Source organism: Homo sapiens, chromosome 7 (assembly GCF_000001405.40).
Source record: "Homo sapiens chromosome 7, GRCh38.p14 Primary Assembly".
In the NCBI taxonomy this organism is placed as follows: Eukaryota; Metazoa; Chordata; class Mammalia; order Primates; family Hominidae; genus Homo; species Homo sapiens.
In genome coordinates, this window is record NC_000007.14 from 30,211,961 (window position 1) to 30,233,740 (window position 21,780).

The window sequence follows — 21,780 nt, forward strand, 5'->3', positions numbered from 1 at the left end:
CTCCAGAACCATAAGGGAATAAATTTCTGATGTCTTCAACTACCCAGTTGGCAGTAATTTGTCAGGACAGCCTTAGGACACTAATATAGTCACCTTGCATAGAATTGGACCCCAGAAAAAAATGAACTGGACATGACCATAACTGAAAGGTAAGAGACTAGGAAGAGGATTAGCCCCAGTCCCCAAATGGCAAATAGGGGGTCCAAATGCCACCAGTCCCCATTGCTTGCCCTGGTAGACATGACTGAATGATTAGGGTCCTCTCCCACAGGGCCAGGCTAAGGCCTTGCAGGACTTAGCACAGTGCTTCAGCTGCCACTAAGTTCGGAGATTCTTGCCCTCTTCTATTCACTCTGCTTCAAGTTATACTTTAGCTCCCTTGTACTTCCTTAATCTACTGTCGACTCTTTTTCTAAGTTTTTAGTGAGCACTGGGTAAATTGTAACACCAGAAAAATTGCACGGCTGGGTGACAGGATGGGATGTAGGGTCCAGCCCAGGGGTGGGGTATGGTTGCCAAGAGAGAGGAAGCCCAGTGTAACCAGGAAACATGTGGGTTTTATACCCATTCTGCCCCAAAATTTGAACCAACAGGCATGATAGACAGCATTCAAAAAGACAACGCTGCAAGTATCTAAGCGTGAAGTCTTTGTTCTTGCTTGGCCAATTAAAAGCAAAACTGTTTTTCTTTTAAGGCAAAAAGAAACCTAAATAATACTCCAGTCTTTAACAAAGCTGTCTGCAGAAGCAAAGAGTTTGCGCAGTCTGAGTTTTTACTAATGTGCATTGCCTTGCCGCAGGCTCGTTCCCGGCATGGTATGAAAACCTGTATGTACTCCAGTTCTCCTTGCTGTGCCGCCTGTGGACAGCGGCATCAGTGTTTTGCTGGCCAACATTTTTCTGCCTTTCATCTCACTGCTGTTCTACTGACACTAATCTCAAATGAACTTTAAACAAAGGCTTGTCTTGTCATTGCACCCACTTAACTTGCTGCAATCTGTCTGTTGTCACATTTCTGTCTGTCCTTAGATCTTCGGGATAAACTGACTTTAAATGTGATCAGACCTTATGTCTCTTCATCTGTCATCTTCATGCCCTTCACACTGACATGCAGTGTGCACCTTTTTAACCATGTGTTTACTGCTGGTGCCATTTTCTCCCCATTTACTTCCTACCATTCTGATATTTGCATTGCATTAATATGCAAATTAAACAAAATGAAATGCTTCTTAATTCAGTTGAGAATTCACGGTTCTAAGCCTGAAGGCTGGCTGATTTATTTTTAAACAGATTTTTATAACTCCAAGTTTTGCTGCTGTGTCAGAAAACAAGAACATCCCCAGATGTTTTCTGCCTTTTCTTTTTCCCTTCCTTCCTCTTTCTGTTTCTTACTTCAATTCATATTTATTTATTTACTGACATTAAAACATACAGAAAATTTACCATTGTAACCATGTTAAAGGGCACCATTCAGGGGCAATAAGTGCGTTCACATTGCTGCCCAACCCTTGCCTTTTTCCATTTCCAGAACTTCTTTATCATCCCAAACAGGAACTGTGTACCCATGCAAAATAACCCTCAAGTTCTCCCAATACCCTAGGCTCTGGCAACCACCATTCTACTTTTCATTTCTATGAATTTAAATTCTTTATTTCTTCTAAAATTACTGTTACATTATGTGGGCAAAGTCATACTGATAATACATTTATAAAAGTTAATCAATTACTCTTACCTCACACCAGACACAAAAACTAACTCAGAATGGACCTCAGCACAGATCTAAACAAATGTGAAAGCTAAACTAAGATGTCTAGAAAAAAACACAGAAAACAATTTTGCAATCTTAAGGTAGGCAAAAGTTTCTTAGGATACACACACACACACACACACACACACCAACCCATAAAAGAAAAAAAATGAATTAAACTTTGCACTTTGAAAGACACTATGCAATAGAATGGAGAAAACATTCACAGTACATTTGTCTGACAAAAGATTTGTATACAGAAAACATAAACAAGTATTACAACTCAATAAAAAGAAGAAAAACAACAAATTTTTAAAAACAGATACAGATTTGAAAAGACATTTGATAAAAGAGGATACATAAATGACCAATTAGCTCATAAAAAATGTTTCATATAATTAGTCGTTAACTAAAATAAAAATTAAAGATGGCTAAAATTCCTTTTGTAGCTTTTTTGAGGTATAAATGACAAATAAAAATGATGTATGTTCAAGGTGTACAACATGATGATTTCATACATGTATACATTGTGAAATGATTACCACAATTAAATTAATTAACACACTCACCTCACATAGTTACCATTGTGTGTGTGTGCATTTATGTGTGTGTGGTGAGGACACTTAAGATTTATTTTTAGCAATTTCAAGTATATAATACCGTATCATTAACTATAGTCACCATGCTGTACATAATATCCTCAGAACTTATTCATTTTATAACTACAAATGGTTGAAATTTAAAAGACTGACAATACAAAGTATTGACAAGGATGTGATGCAATTGGAACTCTCATACATTGCTGGTAGAACTGTGAAATGGCATGGACATTCTGGCAATTTATTTAAAAATTAAAGCATTCAGATTTCCAGTCCAAGATGTAAGGCGCTTAGGAGCCACTTCATCCTAACAACAAGTAAAATGCTGAACAAACTGAAAAATCAACAACTGTGATCTGTCATTGAAGTGGGGTCACAAGGCAAATTACTTTAAAAATTGAAGAGACAGACAAGTGGATACAGAGAATCACAAGTTACCAGAGCAGAAACCCACAAACAGAAAGCCCCGTGGAAACCAATGCTGAGATAGAAAAACTTGAAGTATAACTGATGAATCGCTGGAGGCTTAGTGTGAATAAGTCTATGAGTTAAAAACTCCAGGGGGACCTGGCCGGGTGTGGTGGCTCACACACTTTGGGAGGCCAACGGGGGCGGATCACCTGAGGTTGGGAGTTCAAGACCAGCTTGACCAATATGATGAAACCCTTTCTGTACTAAAAAATACAAAAATTAGCTGGGCAGTGGTGGTGCACACCTGCAATCCCAGCTACTCAGGAGGCTGAGGTGGGAGAATCGCTTGAACCCAGGAGGCGGAGGGTGCAGTGAGCCAAAATCGTGCCACTGCACTCCAGCTTGGGTGACAGAGGGAAACCCTGTCTCAAACAAAAAAACAAACAAACAAAACCCACACACACAACACAACTCTAGGAGGACCCAATCCTTTTGCAAGGCTTATGCCCTGGAGCTCTACCAGGTTCTCACAGCAAGGATCAGAGAAAAATCCTCTTGTGTTTTCACCAGGGAGAGAAAAGTGGCCATTTTGAAATATACCGGCCTTCTTAAGAAGTACTGTCCTAATAAGAAACTGTTTCACTAGAGCCTAAGCTATTGCGTTTTTGCCAGAGCCTAACCAAACTGAGGGAAAGTAATTATCCAACTCCAGCCCCTTCAGCCATCCTTTCTCACCTAAGGTGGGTAAAAGAAACTGAGAGGAATTTGTAAAGTTTCTAGCCAAGGGACGGAGGTTCACTAGAGGACTGAGACCTAAACATAGGACTGTAGAGCAGGTCCTCTTTCCCCACTGTGTACTACCATATTACTAAAGGTTTATTTACTGTGGTTCCTTTCACCCAGTACTTCATGTCTGGCTTTCTACAAAAAAATTACAAGGTGTACAAAAAGGCAAAATGACAACAACAAAAAACAAAAACAAAAACCAAACTAACAAAAAAACACAAAAGCACAGTTTGAGGAGACAGGGCAAGCATCAGAACCAGATTCAGATATGCAGGAATATAGAAATTATCAGATTGTGAATTCAAAAATCACAGTTGTGATTAATATGCTAAGGGATCTAATGGGGAAAAAAAGGCAGCATGCAAGAACAGATGGATAATGTAAGCAGAGAGATGAAAACTCTAAGAAAAATCAAAAAGAAATGCCAGGAATTTTTTAAAAACTGTAACAGAAATAAAGAATGCCTTCGATGAGCTTATTAATAGACAGACTGTACATGGCTGAGGAAAGAATCTCTGAGCTTGAGGATATGTCAATAGAAACATCCAAAACTAAAAAGCAAAGAGAAAAAAAGACTAAAAATAAAAAATATAAAAGGAACAAGATCTGTGAGACAGCTACAAAAGGTGTAAATCCATGTAATTGGAATACCAGAAGGAGAGGAAAGAAAAGAAGGAAGGAACAGGGGAAATGTTTGAAGCAACGATGACTGAGAATTTTCCCAAGTTAATGTCAGAATACCAGGAAGAATAAATGCCAAAAATCAACTACACCTAAATATGCCATGTTCAAATGGCAGAAAATCAAAGACAAAGAAAACATCTTGCAAGAAGACAGAGGAGAAAAGGATTCAAACTACAGAGAAGCAAAGATAAGAATTACATCTAACTTCTCCTCAGAAACCATGTAAACAAGAAGAGAGTGTAGTAAAATATTTAAAGTGTTGAGAGAAAAAAACCACCAATCTAGAGTTCTATATCCTGCAAAATTATCCCTCAAAAGTGAGAGAAAAATAACAACTTTCTCAGACAAACAAACATTGAGGGAAATTTGTTGCCAGTAAATCTGCCTTTGCAAGAAAGTTAAAAGAAATTCTTCAGAGAGAAGAAAATCAACATAGGTCAGAAACTTGAATCTACATAAAGAATGAAAGAGCATTAGAGAAAGAATAAGTGAAGGTAAATTTTAACAGTTATTTTTTCTTATTTTTAACTGATCTAACAGACTAGAGTTTGTTCAAAATAGTAATATCAACGTCTTCAATTTTGTGTGCTTATGTATGTGTGCGTGTGCACATGCATGAGCTTATGTATATGTAAAGTTAATGGCAACAATAATACAGGGTCAAAAGAAAATAACTAAAAATATATTATTATAAGGTACTTGTACCACTTGTGACAGTATAGTACAATTTGGAAGTGGATTTGGATTAGTTGTAAGTGTATATTGATAACTCTAGGATAACCACTAAAAACTTTTTTTTAAAAAAAGGTATAATTGGTATGCTAAGAAAGGAGAGAAAATTGAATCATATAAAATGAATTCTGCTATAAAAACCATATGGCAGAAAAAGAGATGAAGACAAAAATAAAAACGAAGAATGAGGGCAATGAATAAAAAATAGTGACAAGTAGGATAGCTATTAATCCAATATACCAATAATCTCTTTAAATGGCAATGGTCTAAATAGATAAATTAAAAGACAGAGATTGTCAGAGCAGATCAAAAAGCAAGATTCAACTCTATGTTGTCTATAAGAAACTCACTTTAAATATAAAGACACATACAGGTCAAAAGCAAAGTGATGGCTGGACATGGTGGCTCACACCTGTAATCCCAACACTTTGGGAGGCTAAGACAGGAGAATTTCTCGAGCCCAGGAGTTCAAGACCAGCCTGGGCAACATAATAAGATCCTGTCTCTACAAAGAAATTAAAAAGAAATTAGCCAGGTTTGGTGGCATGCACCTGTAGTCCCAGCTACTTGGGGGGCTGAGGTGGGAGTCGGGGAGGTCCAGGCTGCAGTGAGCCATGATTGTGTCACTGCACTCCAGCCTGAGCAACAGAGCAAGACCCTGTCTCAAAAAACAAAAAAGAAAAATGATGGAGAAAGATATACCATGTTAACATTAATCAAAAGAAAGCTGGGGTAACTATATTAATTTCAGACTAAGTAGGGTTCAGAGCAAGGAAAATTATCAGTGATGAAGAGGGTTATTACATAATGATAAAAGGATCAATTCTTTAAGAAACAAAACAATCCTTATTGTGTATGTGCTTAACAACAAAGTATCAAAATATGTGAGGCAAAGACTGATAGAACAGCAAAAACAAATACATGAATGCATTATTATAGTCGGAGACCTCTATCAGAAATGAACATATGCAGCAGCCAGAAAATCAGTAAGGGTATAGCTTATCTCAGTGACATCATCAATCAACTGGATATAATTGACATCTATAGACTACTTCATTCAACAACAGCACGATGCACATTCTTCTCAAGCTCGCATGGAACATACACCAACATAGACCACATTCCGGGCCATGAAACACATCTTAACAATTAAAAAAAAAATAAAAATGATACAGTGTCTGCTTTCAGACCACAATGAAATTAAATTAAAATTGACAACATAAAGATACCAGGAAAATTCCCAGATACTTAGAGATTAAATAACACATTTCTAAATAACACATAGGTCAAATAAGAAATCTCAAGAGAAGTTTTAAAATATTTTTTAACTAAATGGAAATGAAAATACAACTTCTCAAAATTTATGAGATGCAGTGAAAGAAGTGCTGAGAGAGAAATGTATAGCATTGAATGCATATTTAGAAGAGAAAAAAGATCAAAATCAATAATCTAAGCTTCCACCTTAGGAAATTATTTAAAAAAACAAGCAAACTCAATCCAAAGTAAGCAAAGAAAAGAAATGATAGAAATTAGAGCAAACATCAATGAAATTGTAAACACAAAATCAATAGAGAAAATCAAACCATAAGCTGATTCTTTGAAAATATCAATAATAAAATTGATAAGTGTCTAAACCAGACTAATGAAGAAAAAAAAGAAATAACACAAACTACTAATATTAAAAATAAAAGGGGATATCACTACAGGTCCTGTGGATATTAAAAGAATAACAAAGGAATACTTTGAACAACTCTTCCCACAAATTTCATAAGCTGATAAAATGGATGAATTCCTTGAAAGACAAAATCTGCCAAAATTCACACAAGAAGAAATAGACAATCTGAATAGGCCTATATCTATTAAAGAAATTGAGTAACAGTTAATAACTTTCCAAAACAGAAAGTGCCAAGCCCAGGTAGGTTCATGGGTGAATTTTTCCAAAATTTAAGGAAAAAATCATACCAGTTCTCTACAATCTATTTCAGAAAATAGTGGCAGAGTGAATACTTTCTAACTCATTATATGAGGCTAGCATTACCCTCATACTAAAACCAAAGACATTACAAGGAAAGGAAACTACAGACCAACACTTCTCATAAACATAGATGCAAAAATTTTCAAAAAAATTTGGCAAATCAAATCCAACAATGTATAAAAAGAATTATACTCCATGACCAAGTGGGATTTATCTCAGGTATGCAAGTCTGGTCCAATATTCAAAAATCAATTAATGTAATTCATTACACCAAAAAGCTAAAGAAGAAAATCACATGATCGTATAAATAGATGCAGAAACAGCACCTGAAAAATTCCAACATCTATTCATGATAAAACTCTCAGCAAAGTAGGAATAGAGGGAAACTTCTTTAACTGGATAAGGAACATTTGCAAAATACCCACAGCTAGCATCACACTTAATGTTGAGAAACTAGAAGCTTTCTGCTAAGATCAGGAACAATGCAAGGATGTTCTCTTTCACCAATTATTTTCAACATCTAACTGGAAGTCCTAACTAATGCAATAAGACAAGAAAAAAAGATATATAGATTGGGAAGGAAGAAATAAAACTGCCATTGTTTGCAAATGATATAACTATGTATGTAGAAAATCTGAAAGAATTAACAAAAAACTCCTAGAACTAATAAGTGATGATAGCAAGGTTGCAAGATACAAGGTTAGTATACAAAAGTCAATCATTTTCCTAAATCCCAGCAATGAATAAGTGGAATTTGAAATTTAAAACACAATACTATTTACCCCAAAAATGAAATACTTAGGTATAAATCTAACAAATCATGCACAAGATCTACATGAGGAAGAATGCAAAACTTGGATAAAAGAAATCCTGGACGAACTTAATAAAGAGATGTTCCATGTTCATGGATAGGAAGACTCAATGTTGTCAAGATGTCAGTTCTTTCCCAACTTTATCTATAAAGTCAATGTGAAGTCAATGAAATCTTAGCAAGTTAATTTGTGGATACTGACAAACTGATCTAAAGTTTATATGGAGAGGCAAAAGACCCAGAAGTAGCAAGTCAACATTGAAGAAGAACAAAGTTGGAAGACCAACCCTATGTAATGGAAGATTTATTATAAAGCTACAGTAATCACAAAAGTGTGGTGCTAGTGAAAGAATAGACAGATAGCTCAATAAAACGGAACAGAGAGCCCAGAAATAGACCCACATAAATGTGGCTAACTGATCTCTAACACAGAAGCAAAGGCAATACAATGAAGAAAAGATAGTCTTTTCAACAAAGTGGTGCTGGAACAACTGGGTATCCACATGCAAAAATATAAATCTAGATACAAACCTTAAACCCATCACAAAAATTAACTCAAAATAGATCACAGACCTAAATGTAAAATGCAAACTATAAAACTCATAGAAGATAACATGGGAGAAAGTCTAGATGACCTTGGGTTTGGTGATGACTTTTTAGATGTAACACTAAAGGCACAATCCATGAAAGAAGAAACTGACAAAATGGACATCATTAAAATTCAAATGTTCTGCTCTGTGAAAGACACTGCTAAGAGAATAAAAGGATAAGCCATAGACTGGAAGAAAATATTTGCAAAGGCATATCTGATAAAGGACTTTATTCAAAATATATAAAAAAAAAAAACCCTTAAAACTCAACAATAAGAAAACAAACATCCTGATGTAAAAATGGGTCAAAGACTTTAATGGACACTTCACCGAAGAAGACATACAGTTAGCAAATAAGTATATGAAAAGATGTTCCACATCACGTGTCATCAGGGAAATGCAAATTAACACAAGATAACACCACCTACCTATTAGAATGGCCAAAATCCAGAATGCTGATAACACCAAATGCTGACAAGAAGTTAGAGCAACAAGAACTCTCATTCATTGCTGCTAGGAATGCAAAATGGTAGACACTTTGGAAGATGGTTTTATTACAAAAACAAATATATTCTTATCATATGATCCAGCAGTTATGCTCCTTGGTATTTACCCAAAGGAGTTGAAAACTTTCATCCACACGAAAACCTGCCCATGGATATTTACAGAAGCTTTATTCCTAATTTGCCAAAACTTGGAAGCAACCAAGATATCCTTCAGTAGGTAAGGAGATAAATAAACTGTGGTACATCCAGATAATGGAATATTATTCAGAACTAAAAAGGAATGAACTATCAAGCCAGAAAAGAAATGGATGTGAGCCTGGGCAACATAGCTAGACCCCATATCTACAAAAACATTAAAAAATTATCCAGGCATGATGGCTCACACTTGTAGTCCTAGCTACTCAGGAGGCTGAAGCAGGAGGATCACTCAAGCCCAGGAGGTCGAAGCTGCAGTGAGCTATGATTACGCCAATGCACTCCAACCTGGGTGACAGAGCAAGACTCTGTCTCTAAAAGAAAGACATAGATGAAATTTAATGCATATTACTAAGTGAAAGATGCCAATTTTAAAGGGCTACATACTGTATAATTCCCAGCATATGACAGTTTGGAAAAGGCAAAATGATGGAGAGAGTAAAAAGATGAATGGTTGTCAGGGCCTGGTGGAGGGATGAATATGCAAGGCACAGAGGATATTTAGTGCAGTAAAACTATTCTATAGGATACTATAATAAGTAAAACTATTATATCATATAGAATATAAAACTATTCTATATGATACTATAATGGTGAATATATGTCACTATACATTTATTCAAACCCATAGAATGCACAACACCTACAGTGGACCTTAATGTTAACTATGGACTGTAGATAGTAATGTGTTAGTGCGGGTTCATCAGCTGTAACGAATGTACCACTCTGGTGTGGGATGTTGATAATGGGGAGGCTGTGCATGGTGGGGGTAGAGGGTAATGGGAAATCTCTGTACTTTTTGCTCAATTCTGCTGTGAACCTAAAGCCGCACTAAAAAAATAAAGTTCATTTAGAAAGAAAATAAGTTAATACATATTCAAAAAATTTAAGCATATTACCATATGACCTAGTCATTTCATTCCTAGGTATTTACCCAAGAGAAATGAAAACACACCCACACAAAGACTTGTGCACAAATATTCAGAGGAGCTTTATGCGCATGAACTAAAAACTGGAAACAACTCGAATGTCCGTCAGTGGGTGATTGGATAAACAAAATGAGGTTATCCATGAAATGGAATATTACTAGCAATAAAGAGGAATAAACTAGTGATAGCCTAAAAATCATTATGCTAAGTGAATGAAGACAGAAGCAAAGGCGTCCACACTCTCTGATGCCATTTATATAAATTCTAGAAAATATACATTAATCTGTAGCGACGAAAAGCAGATCAGCAGTGTTGGGCGCAGGGGCAGAGTGTGGAAAGTACTGCAAAGGGGAATGAAGAAGCTTTTGGGGATGATGGAAATGTTCTGTATCTTGCTTGTGCTGGTGATTTCACAAGTGTGCATGCCTGGGAAAAGTCATCAGATCATACACTTGAAAAGGAAGCAGTTTATTGTATGTAATTACACTCCAGTAAAGGCAAAAAAAATCTCATCCATTAAATTAATATCAATAGTAGGCTTTCACTTGAATCAAGGTTTTTCACTTTTCAATTTTTGCTGAAAAAACTGAGCCCCTCAGCTATTTTAAGGATAAAAAACTCTGGTATGATTGTTGTTTGACTACTCTGCTTGGAGAGGGTGAGTGGGGGTGCCTGAGCACGGTTTTGAGCCTTGCCTACCTCATTCCCACCCCCAGGAGCGTGGGTGACATCATTTCAGGACACATCATGAGGAATACACTTGACTACCTCTGGGCCCAGCATGCCGCAGACCTCCACTCAGTCGGCTCCTACATCCTCCAACCAACAGGAGGTGGAGAAAGGCCCAGGGATGCCCAGAACCCCAGGAGGCCTACAGATGCTTTAGATCAGCTGTACCTTCCCTTCACCTGCATAAACTCAAACCTGCAGAGGAAATTTCCTCCTAAGCCCAGACATTAATCACACCACTGGGAGACTGTAAAGCCAGTGCCAGGCTGACAGAGAGGCCTGCAGGAACCTGGTCCTTTTTAACAGCACCCAGCAAAGGGAGGGAAAGCCCAAAACCCAGCCTCAGGCAGGACGATCAGCATGCAACAGTCATAAGGAAGCTGCCCCGCTCCCCCGGTTTCCTGAGCAGGATCTGAGTGTGCATCCCTCCAAGAACTGGCACTTGGGTTTTAATTATAACCTCTACCAAACTTCTCCGCTCTCTGCTGCCACACAGATCTGCAGCTGAAACTGTCCTCTGTCAATATATAAGCATCCCCTACTCTAAGGCAGCCAGACACTTTTAGGACCTATCTAGCCCCAAGTATTCCTTTAGGAAACACTATCAGCCACATCTGGAAGCCTCCAGGTGGGAACACAGTGCAGACCAATGGGACACATGTGCTCAAGTCCTGACTGTGCGTCGCTAGCTGTGTGATTCTGGCAGGTGACCACCAATCTGATTACCATCATCCTCATTAGTAACATATGGATAATAGCTTCCTTACAGATTAGGTGTGTAGATCACAGGAGATTAAGGGATTTATAAAGTGCTGTATGGTCTATGAAAGTTGGCTATTATTAACCATGCCTAGGGAATTCAGACTTCATATGGCTTTTCTCCACAGAATCTTCTTACACTTTTCTAAGGTTAAAAAACAAAGGTGGTCTAGGATCCAAAAAAGAAAAAATATGTTAAAAAATATTTCTACCAAGTTTGAAAAAACACTTTAAAATCCTTTCTAACCTCTCTCTCCTCCCACACATACACCTTAGCTCTATAGATGAGCTGTGGCTAATGTTAAAACAAATCTATTTTCCCTTAGAAACACGATGATGACACAGGGTAGTGGGTAAAGGAGGGGAGGATTGGCAGGACGGCCATAGGAAGTTACAAACTGAGAACATTCTGTAGCTGTTTAAATTACACAGAGTACAGTATGTGTAGAATGAGAAAGGCAGGGAGGTGGGTTAAGGCCTATGGAATATCAGCATTTCAAGATTGGGTAGAAAAAGAGAAGCTTACAAAGGAGAATGAGAAGGAGTCACAAAGGTGAGTATGACAGAGACTGCCAGTTGCCCCAACATCCATCCTCCCTTTCTTCCACAGTGATAGAATTGTTGGCTGCGTGCATGTTCACTTAGCTAAAGACTGCATTTACCAACCTCTGTTGCAGCTAGATGTGACCATGTGACTGTTCCGGCTACAGGATCTGAACACAACATGTGCAACTACAGATTATTCTCTTAAAGGGAAAGGATATGCTCTCTCCTATATATTTTCCCTTTTTCAGTGGTGGATTGTGGCTGTGGGAAGAACCATCCTGAACCACACAGACAGGTGGGATACCTAAGGATGTTAGAGCAACAAGATAGAAAGAACCTGGGCTTGGGACAATGTTGCAGAGCAGATCCAACACACCAATTTCAATGTTTGCATGATAGTGCAATAAAATCCTGTGCTTTTAAGTCACTATTTCTTTAGGTCTCCGAGATGTGGATGGACCAATATCTATCTTACTCAGTGAATGTAGGAAGAAGATGATTTAAAGAAGGAAGAGAAATGTGGCTGATATGTCAGATAAGATGAGGACTGAAGCTTCCTCTTGGTTGAGCAATAAAAAATTCACTGGTGACTCCAGGAAGAGCATTTTTAAAGGTGATAGGACCATTGGAAGGCCAATTTTAAGAGTGGGCTCAAGGCAAGGAAGGATGGACAGCAAGGATCAGCACTTTGTTAAGAAATTTAGCGGTAAAGGAGGCAAGAGCTGGAGAGTGACATGGGGTTGAAAAAAATCCTGCTTCACTTCTCTGTTTCTGTTTCATGGGACTCTCCAAGAATGGGTCTCTCCATCCTAACAAAAATCGCTTGTGTTCTCAGCCTATTTTGCTTACTCATAATTGTGTAACAAACCACTTCAAGAAACTTAGTGGCTTAGACTATGATGATTTATAATTTCTCAGGACTCTGTGGGTTGACTGGGCAGTTCTCTTCATGTGGTGTGGGCTGGAGCACTAGTATGCTTGAAATGTCCAAATGGCTGGCTGTGGCTGCTGGCTGCTGCCTGGGAGCTCAGCTAGGGCTCTCAGCCAGGGGTCTTGGTTTTCTTCCAGGGGTCCTTTCTATGTCGTTGCTTGAGCTTCCTCCCAGCATGACAGCTAAATTCCAAGATGAAACATTTCAAGAGTGCAAACACATAAACTGCTAGTCTTTTCTAAGGCTTAAGCCTGAAACTAGCATAGCATCACTTTCACCACATTCCATTATTTAAAATAGATCACAAGGCAGCCCAGATTCAAGGGAGAGGAGACTACACAAGTGTATGAATACAAGGAGGCATGGAAGACCACCAAAATAAAAACCTAACAAGTAGAAATGACCCAGAGAAGAGAGAGAGGTTGCAAAGGGGTTGCAGGAAATTTGGTGGAGGGGTGAGGGATATGTTTTTATTTTAATTGTAGTGATGGTTTTACAGGCTGACTCATGTCAAGCTTATCAAATTATACACTTTAAATTTGTACAGTTTGTTGTATATCAATTATACCTCAAATACGTCTTTTTTTTAAAAGTGCAATCTACTTACAGAGTAAATATTTCAGTAAATTGTGGTATATCCATTAGGTAAAATATTTTATAGCAATTACCAGTGATAAGAACAGTGTGAAATAGCAGGAGAAATGTTTCTGATGTAAAGACAAATGAAAAAAGCAAGTATGAAATTCTGGGTACACTGAAAATTTTGTAAAAATGTGTATATGTGGGCAAGGCTAGGAAAGCATTCACAGAATGAAAATACCATCATTAGGCAGGTGGAATAGCATGGATTTTCCCCTTCAATTGTCCGCATTTTCTGCTCTGTTGCTATATTTGCTTTATAATTAATCTCTTGATCCTTCTATTTTTGCACTCATTCTCTTATCTGCAGGCCTTCCACATGGGTCAGGCCTCTTCAGCTGAGGCTCTGGCAGTGTAAATCCTGCGTCTGTCTAAAGCACTTTGTTTCTGTGTGGTTCACTCCTGATACAGGGCCACTTGTGCGAGAGTTGAGAGGGAGACAGGCAGGGCTCTTGGGGAGTGATACAGCACTTATGTGTTCGTCAATTCTAATAACAGGCTTGCTCCTTCTCCCACCTGGGGCTGTCACTCTGGCTTCCAAATCCAGACAGGTTTCTGTTTCAAAATTACTTCCTTATTAGTCATTCCCTTTCCACTTCCCTTTTCTGCCACCTTCTTATAAAACACACTGGTTCAGCAAGCTCTGTGTGTCTGAATCACTGCCAGGCCTCAGCTCCCTCCCTGGCTGCCCCAGCTGCTCCCCCACCATTTAGCAGAACCATGCAGGCATCCAGAAATGGGGAAACAGCTACAGCTGGTGTCAGCTGCAAAGTTTCTCTCCTGCCCCTCCATCTCTCCCCCTCTTTCCTGACATGTTATATTTTCACAAGAAGGGACTTGGAGAAACGTGCTATTATTCTTTTCTGGGTGACACACAATCACAAAGGCAATCTTCCTGGGAGATGGGCTTAGCAGGGCCAATGCCAGCAATAGGGAGAGAAGGGAGTTAGGCCTTTTAATCACACTCCTTTGGCTCGGTGTATCCATTTTGCCTCCCACGATGGTGCTTGCTGTCTGCTTCGGGTCAGCTCTGCCCCTCAGGGTGATGAGCAAGGAAAGACAGGTGATGGCAGGTTGACATTTACGATCTCACGAGCCAAACTGCTGCCTGCATGCCCAGAAGGATGTGAGGGTACCATGATGGAGGATTGCAAGTGAGAGCCAGAGAGGCACCTGCCAAGCCCCGTCACCTGGCTGCACACACGGTGAGGGAGGGACGAGGTGGAGAGGAATTGTGTGAAGGGAGCAGGGGCCAGCTCTGAGCCATATGTTCTGTTGGGGAGGCTTTTCAGCTATGAGCAGGCAGCCTGATACCTGTTAAATGGCTCCTCAAAGTGGCTACACTAAGACTCAACCCGGTAAGACAGAATGGCAATGTGTTGTCAACTTGATTTGTTCTTAAAATGGGACTTTTTTTTCCTTTGGGCAGAAGGCCTGTCAATTTCCAGCAGGGGCAGCGCAGTCCGCTTCCAGGGAAAACTTAGGTCCTTGCCAGCAGGTGGGGCAGGTGGCCTCCAACCGTGGTTTTTCTCCTCTCACCAGTCCTGTGTTCTCCCTCAAGGTAGCCTTTCAAAGCCATGTTTTCTCCTTCTTCTCTGCTTACACCTCCCGCTGCCTCGCTCACTGTTTTTTTTTGTTTGTTTGTTTTGAGACAGGGTCACTGTCTTTTTAACTGTCCCTTCTCTTTCCTCTTCTGCCTTTTCGTGTTCCTTTTCAGGCAAGAAAAAATGCAAACACGTGCCCATGTGCACACCCACCCAACCCACACACAAGAATTCTGGAAAGAAATAGAGTACCAAAATGTCTTCCTTTCCAGCATTTGTGATTTGCATAATTTAAAACTGCATGTCCCTAACCATTTCATTATTATATTAAATATATAGTATTTCAAAACAGTGGGGGAAAATGATCAAGTTGGACCCACAATGACTTAAAGTTATATTTATGCCTTATCCAGAAAGCTTTCTTTTCAAGAAGAAAATGAGTGACTTTAGAAAATGTATACATTGAGATTACTTTTTAAGGTTAAAAAATGCCAACAATAATGTTAAAAAGTGATGATGCTTGAAATCCTTTAGATGCTCTAAGTACTGGTAATAAACATGTTCTATTTTATTTGAGTTTTTACAGATTGAGAAACTGAAGGACAGATAAGACTCGACTCTCCTGAATCCCAGGCCCTTGCTGGGTCCCCACAAGGTGGTGAGGTCCTTGAAGGTAGGATCTGTTTTATTGAAACATCTTTGCAGCCCCTTTAGGTCTGGAACACAGTAGGGACTCAATAAATGTCTGTGGAATTTAACTATTTCCTGGAAATGACCAACAATATTAATATGTTGAACATGAGGACTTTTAGTAGGATAATTAATAATTTAATAAATATATACATTCTATATTTTCCTTATATCTTGGTAACCAAAAGGGAATTACTTGAGCTAGCAAACTGCAGCCAGTAATGGACAGCAGCAGCCACATTAAGAATGTCTTATTTTCCCAAAGGGATACGATTTTCACATATGGCATTAATTTCTGGGAGTTTGTGAGACAACTGGGACCATTTGAACAATTTTACAGAGATTTAGCTGCTTATACTGAGCTGTGTTGCTCAACCTGACTTACTCCAAAGCCTGAAAGGATGTAGTTCAGGTGTGTTTGGCAGCTGAATGAGGCCACAGTGTTTAGTGTTGGGTTAGCCCGTGATTCTCCACCAGGCTACGTGTCAGAATCACCTGTGGAACGTCTTAATCGATTCCTATTTCCAAGGTCCCTCGTTAAACCAGTTAAATCAGAATCTCAGGAGTAGGGTCTAGGCATTACATTTTTGAAGCTCTCTGGAGGGGTCTCAAAAGAGGCACAAAGAATGAGTGGTGAGAGGGGAGAGCTCCTTCTTGCTTTCTACAAGCTCCAAGTTTGCTTTTAGCCGATAGTGTTAGCCCAGTGTTGTTCAAACCTTAATGTGTACACGTATCGCCTGGGGATCTTGCTGAAATGCAGCTTCTGACTTGGTAGATCTGGCCTGCCGGTGCAGATGCAACTGGTTAGCAGGCCACCATAGGCAGCAAGGATCCAGAGCTGCACAGGCCAATATGGTGGCCACAGGACATGTGTGGCTATTGAGTGTGTGAAACATGGCTAGTCCAAGTTGCAATGTGCTGTAAGCATAAAATAAACACCAGATTTGGAAGCTTTTGTACCAAAACATAGATATATCCATAATAATTTTTATCTTGGTTACATGTCAAAATGATAATATCTTAGACATACTGAGTTAAATAAAATACACTATGAAATTAATCTCGCCTGTTCCTTCTTTTCTTGTTTTAGCGTAACTACTAGAAAATTTGACGTTATCCTAAGCAAATTAATGCAGGAACAGAAAAGCAAATACCACATGTTCTCACTTGTAAGTGGGAGCTACACATTAGCTACTTATGGATATAAAGATGGCAACAATAGACAATAGAGACTACTAGAGGTAGGAGGAAGGAAGTGGGGCAAGGGTTGAAAAACTAACTATTGGGTACTATGCTCACTATTTGGGTGATGGCATCCATTGTACCCCAAACCTCAGCATCATACAATATACCCATGTAACAAACCTGCATATGTAACCCTGGATCTAGGATAAAAGTTGAAATTATTTTTAAAAAGAAAATTAAAAATTACTTATTGACTTGCATTGACTTTCTATTGGGCAGCGCTGGTCTAGGAAACTGTTCAATGCTTGGTGGCAACTGCATAGTGGCAAGGGTGTTTAAATGGGATGAATGCAGTGGCTGGGGAAGTGGTTACCTGCCTAGAATTCAGACTCTACAGGTATAAATTAAGAACAATCATGGCTATCATTTATGAGTGCTTCTACGACCTATCACTGTTCTAAACACTTTACATGAATTATCTCATTTAGTGCTCATAGCAGCCCATGAGGTAAGCATCTCTATTATTCCCATTTCACAGATGGGGAATTTAAGGCAGAGGCAGTTTCAGCAACTTGCCTCAGCTAGCAAGTGAAAGGGTTTAGGGTTGAGCTTTAGAAAGCTCCCTCTCCCTCTGCCCTCTGTTTTAGTCCATTTGTGCTGCTATAACAAAATACCACAGACTAGGTAATTTATAAACTATAGACATTTATTTCTCATGGTTCTGAAAGCTGGAAGTCCCAGGTCAAGGTGCCAGCAGGATTGGTGTCTGGTGGGGGCTGCTCTCTGCTTCCAAAATGGTCCCTTGTTGCTGCATCCTCTGGAGGGGAGGGATGTTGTGTCTTCACATGGCAGAAGGGATGTTGTGTCTTCACATGGCAGAAGGGATGTTGTGTCTTCACATGGCAGAAGGGATGGAGGGGCTGGAGACACTCCCTTCAACCTCAAGCCCTTTTATAAGGACACTAATCCCATTCATGAGGGCAGAGCCCTTATGACTTACTTCTCAAAGGCCATAAGTTTTAATAATGTTACATTGGGGATTACGTTTCAACATGAATTTTTCAGAGGACACCATCCATTCAAACCATTCCACCTACCTCCATGGAGGAAAGAGACCAGGCACCAAGAGGATGTGACTACCTGGAGGCCATGCCCCATTTCTATTCTAGAACATGCTACTTGATTGGTCTGAGTGGTGGCTGAAGGCAGATGTTTTGGGGAGTACAGCAGATGGAGCTTGGGTCCCCAAATCCTTTTCAGTACAAGATGGAGCTAGGGATGGGAAGAGAGGTGGGGCAGGTGGAGTGCAGGGGGCTTCCAGCTGTACTGTTGCCCTGGCCACCACTAATGTTAGAGGCAGGCCTAGTGCCAGGATTCGATGCCAATGCCCACATACCGAAGGACTGACAGAGCTGAAGGTGGACTGTGTTCTGAGACTCTGCAGGTCACTCTGGGCTCGGAGACTACCCATTGCATACAAGAGGAGAAGCATTGCTACTTCAGTGACAAAGGCCAATGGGATTCTGATCTGCAGAAGGCCCTTCTCTGCCTTAGGTGTAAGTCAATGTAAGGGTGGAGCTTTCCCATCCCTGCCTCCTGATTGACCGCGTTACACTCAAACTCAAAATGATCTCCCTTATGGAAAGTGATTCCTTCGCAGTAGGATGCAAAAAAAATGAAAGCCTCTCTGTAGAAATAAATCACAGTGCTGGAACTTATTTCAATACTTTAGCATCCCTGAAAAATACCCTAGCTTTGATAAAGAGTCCACTATGTAGTGCAGAAAGTTGCAAAAAAGGATGAACAATATATCTGAATTTCTCTTTCTGTAAAATACAGGTGGTGGTAACATATGCCCCTGACTCTTGTTTGTTGAAGACATTCAGAGCTAATGTGGTTTGGATCTGTGTCCCCGTCCAAACCTCATGTCAAATTGTAATCCCTAATGTTGGAGGTGGGACCTGGTGGGAAGTGACTGGATCATGGAGGCAGTTTCTCATGAATGGTTTAGTACCATCCCTTTGGTGCTGTTCTCGTAATAGTGAGTTCTTGTGAGACCTGGTTGTTTAAAAGATTGTAGCACCTCCTCGCTCTCTCTTCCTCCTGCTCTGGACATGTGAAGTGTGTGCTCTTCCTTTTCCTTCCACCCTGATTGGAAGCTTCCTGAGGCTTCCCAGAAGCAGAAGCTTCTATGCTTCCTGTACAACCTGCAGAACTGTGACCCAATTAAACTTCTTTTCTTTATAAATTACCCAGTTCAGGTATTTCTTTATATCAGCCCAAGAATGGACTAATACAAGAGCATTCTGAAGTTTTACAAAGGAAGCTTCTGGAAAACAGAACATTGCCAGACCCTTCCACTGGCTGGACCACTGAAGAACAGAACTTTGACAGCTGCAGCCCTAGGGTGCTCTAACTATCACCATAAAACATTGGTTTTCTTTGATCTGCCCTGCCTGGTCATTGTCTCTTGGGCAACAGATGGGAACGCTTTGATCAACTTCAGGAGATGTCTTTGTGGTTGGTGACTTTTCCCTCATCTAAGAGCCTGTCCTCAGCCTGATTCTGAGTCCTGGGTTCTTGCAGCATCAACTTTTCAACTGCATGTAAAATAAATTCTTGACATTCCTCTGAACTGGATGTGAAAATCTTATGTTTCCTCCACTGGAGAGGGGAAGAAGAAAACTTAGCAGCAAAGTCTCAACAGCCTTGAAGGTCACAGTAGGGTGAAAGAGATAATCCTCATCTCCTCTGAAATCAGAATCAGAGGTAATCAGTTACTTGGCAGTACAAGGGGCTATGGATAGACATTGAAAGAACTTCCAGATAATGAGGTTTTTGAACTCCAGAATGAGTTGCCTGGGTGGAACAGAATTTCCTTCCCTGGAGGTCTTTAGAGGCAGGAGCGAGGTCCAGGGAGTATGTAAGTGCAGAATGGCTTGCATGGAGAGGGAAGAATTAGCTTTGTGTCTTGCTTAAGAGAATAATGGGAGTAGCTAGAGTAATAAAATCAGTCTTTCCCCTCCCTTCTATATGGTCTCAAGCAAGTAAAATAAGCCATGGCAGCAGTGATGACTACCTTGCCTTGTATATTTCCAAAATACTTTCCTGTTACTTCAGTTGGTTCTTACCGTGGCAACTCCATGAGTTAGATGGGAAGCACGCACATTATTATCACTGTTGGCAGAGAAGACTAGAGTAAAGGGAACAGTCCACACAGCTGGTTAGCATCACAGCTGGGGCTGCATAGGGATCCTGATCAATTGCTCTTTCCACTGATGCTTGAAATTCTGAATCTGGTGAAATATTAGGGATGGTAGGGATTCCACTACAGTTTCAGTTGCATTTCTGAAAACATTCTATGTTTTAAAAAATTCAAATAATATGAACTTGGCACCCTATCTCCTGGTTAACATGTTGCTGGAAGGTGGAATGGCTTGACTTCTAACTAGCCTTATTAGAATTAACACAAACCGAGGAAGCAACTACACTGAAAACAGAGAGAGGGAGAGAGAGAGCTCCTCTGTCTAATCTGTCTAATTGCATGATCTACTTAACTGCGAGACAGTATCTCAGTGGCTTGACTCCAAACCAGAAAACCCTGCGGAACATATTGTTGGGAAATGCCCAGCCTCACTGGAGGCAGGGAGACCAGATGCTCCAATTACAGCTTTGTCATCCCAACTTGAGACTTGCGTAGCTCCTTTCCTTAAGAAATGGAGAGTGAAACTGTGTTGTAAAAAAAAAAAAACAAAACTTCTTTATATCTCTCCTGTAGCTATATAGTCAAAGGAAGTAGTAGCCAAGTCTCTGTATTCAGAGGGTTTTTTTGGGGGTGGTGAGGGCAGAAGGTGGAGTTCAGGTTTGGACCTAACATGAAAGTCAGCGGCCAGTATTCACCTTCTGAGAAATTGTAAAGTGCCCTGCTGGCTCCCCCAGCCCCTGACTGCAGCCCTTGCCATTCTCACTTTAGGGTACAAGCATGTTACCAAAAATGCCAGGTATAGATCAGCAATGTCCGTGAAAATCAGGAAAATAAATATTTACTATTCATTTGTATTTGTAAACATGAAAAAAACATAGGTTTATTGATTACTTCTGTAGAAAGTATCAATCTATGCCTTGAAAAGGGGAGGTTATATTTTTCTGTTTTAAGTTTTTGGTCATATGTGTAATCTATACACACATATATACATTTATCCCCTAGACACACACCCTTCCCCGTATAAATAATCAAACGTGTGTGGGCCTCTGTGTGAATATACCAGATGTATTAAACACACACAAAACTTACAAGGTTTTTAATGGATGATGACTCAGTGGGACCGAGTTTCAGCAATTTTTGTTTTCAACTGAATGACTGGCACCTTCAATTTTACTCCTTTGTAACAGAAGGTGTGGGGCTCCTGGCTAAGACACAAAACAGTTCTTCTTCTTTTTAATCTGAGAAAGGAAGGAAGAGTTTTAACAGAGTTAATTGAGTGGTTGGGGTCTCTAGAAAGCAACTTGCCTCTCTCAGCTAACAGGAAAGGAAGGAAGAAATAGAAATCGAGGAGAAGCTTTTCTGTGCCCATGCCCTGCCTGCAATGTTAGGAACCTCCCTCTTGAAGTAAATTGGTGAAACCCTTTGCAGGGCAGCTTGGTGATAGGCATCTACTTTGACCCAATTCCTCTTCTAGGAATTTATCCTAAGGAGGAAATTGGACAAGCATACAAAGACAGAGGTGTCGGGATGCACACTAGTGAAAAATTGAAGATTGGAGACAACAAAATGGCTGTCAAGACATTATTTA

At 39.8% G+C, this 21,780-nt stretch overlaps 1 long non-coding RNA gene across 2 annotated transcripts in view; it reads left to right on the plus strand.

The window, feature by feature from the left end:
* LOC124901607 (uncharacterized) overlaps positions 1 to 21,780 on the plus strand; it is a 95,727-nt gene that overhangs the window by 23,433 nt on the left and 50,514 nt on the right. Inside the window, exons 1-2 of one of the 2 annotated variants that reach the window (XR_007060273.1) lie at positions 1 to 12,293; positions 15,699 to 15,785. The exon at positions 1 to 12,293 is cut by the window's left edge and continues 23,433 nt beyond it. This is a non-coding gene — a long non-coding RNA (uncharacterized LOC124901607). Of the gene's footprint in view, positions 12,294 to 15,689; positions 15,786 to 21,780 lie in introns of both variants that reach the window. The other variant, XR_007060274.1, reaches the window with a different exon arrangement.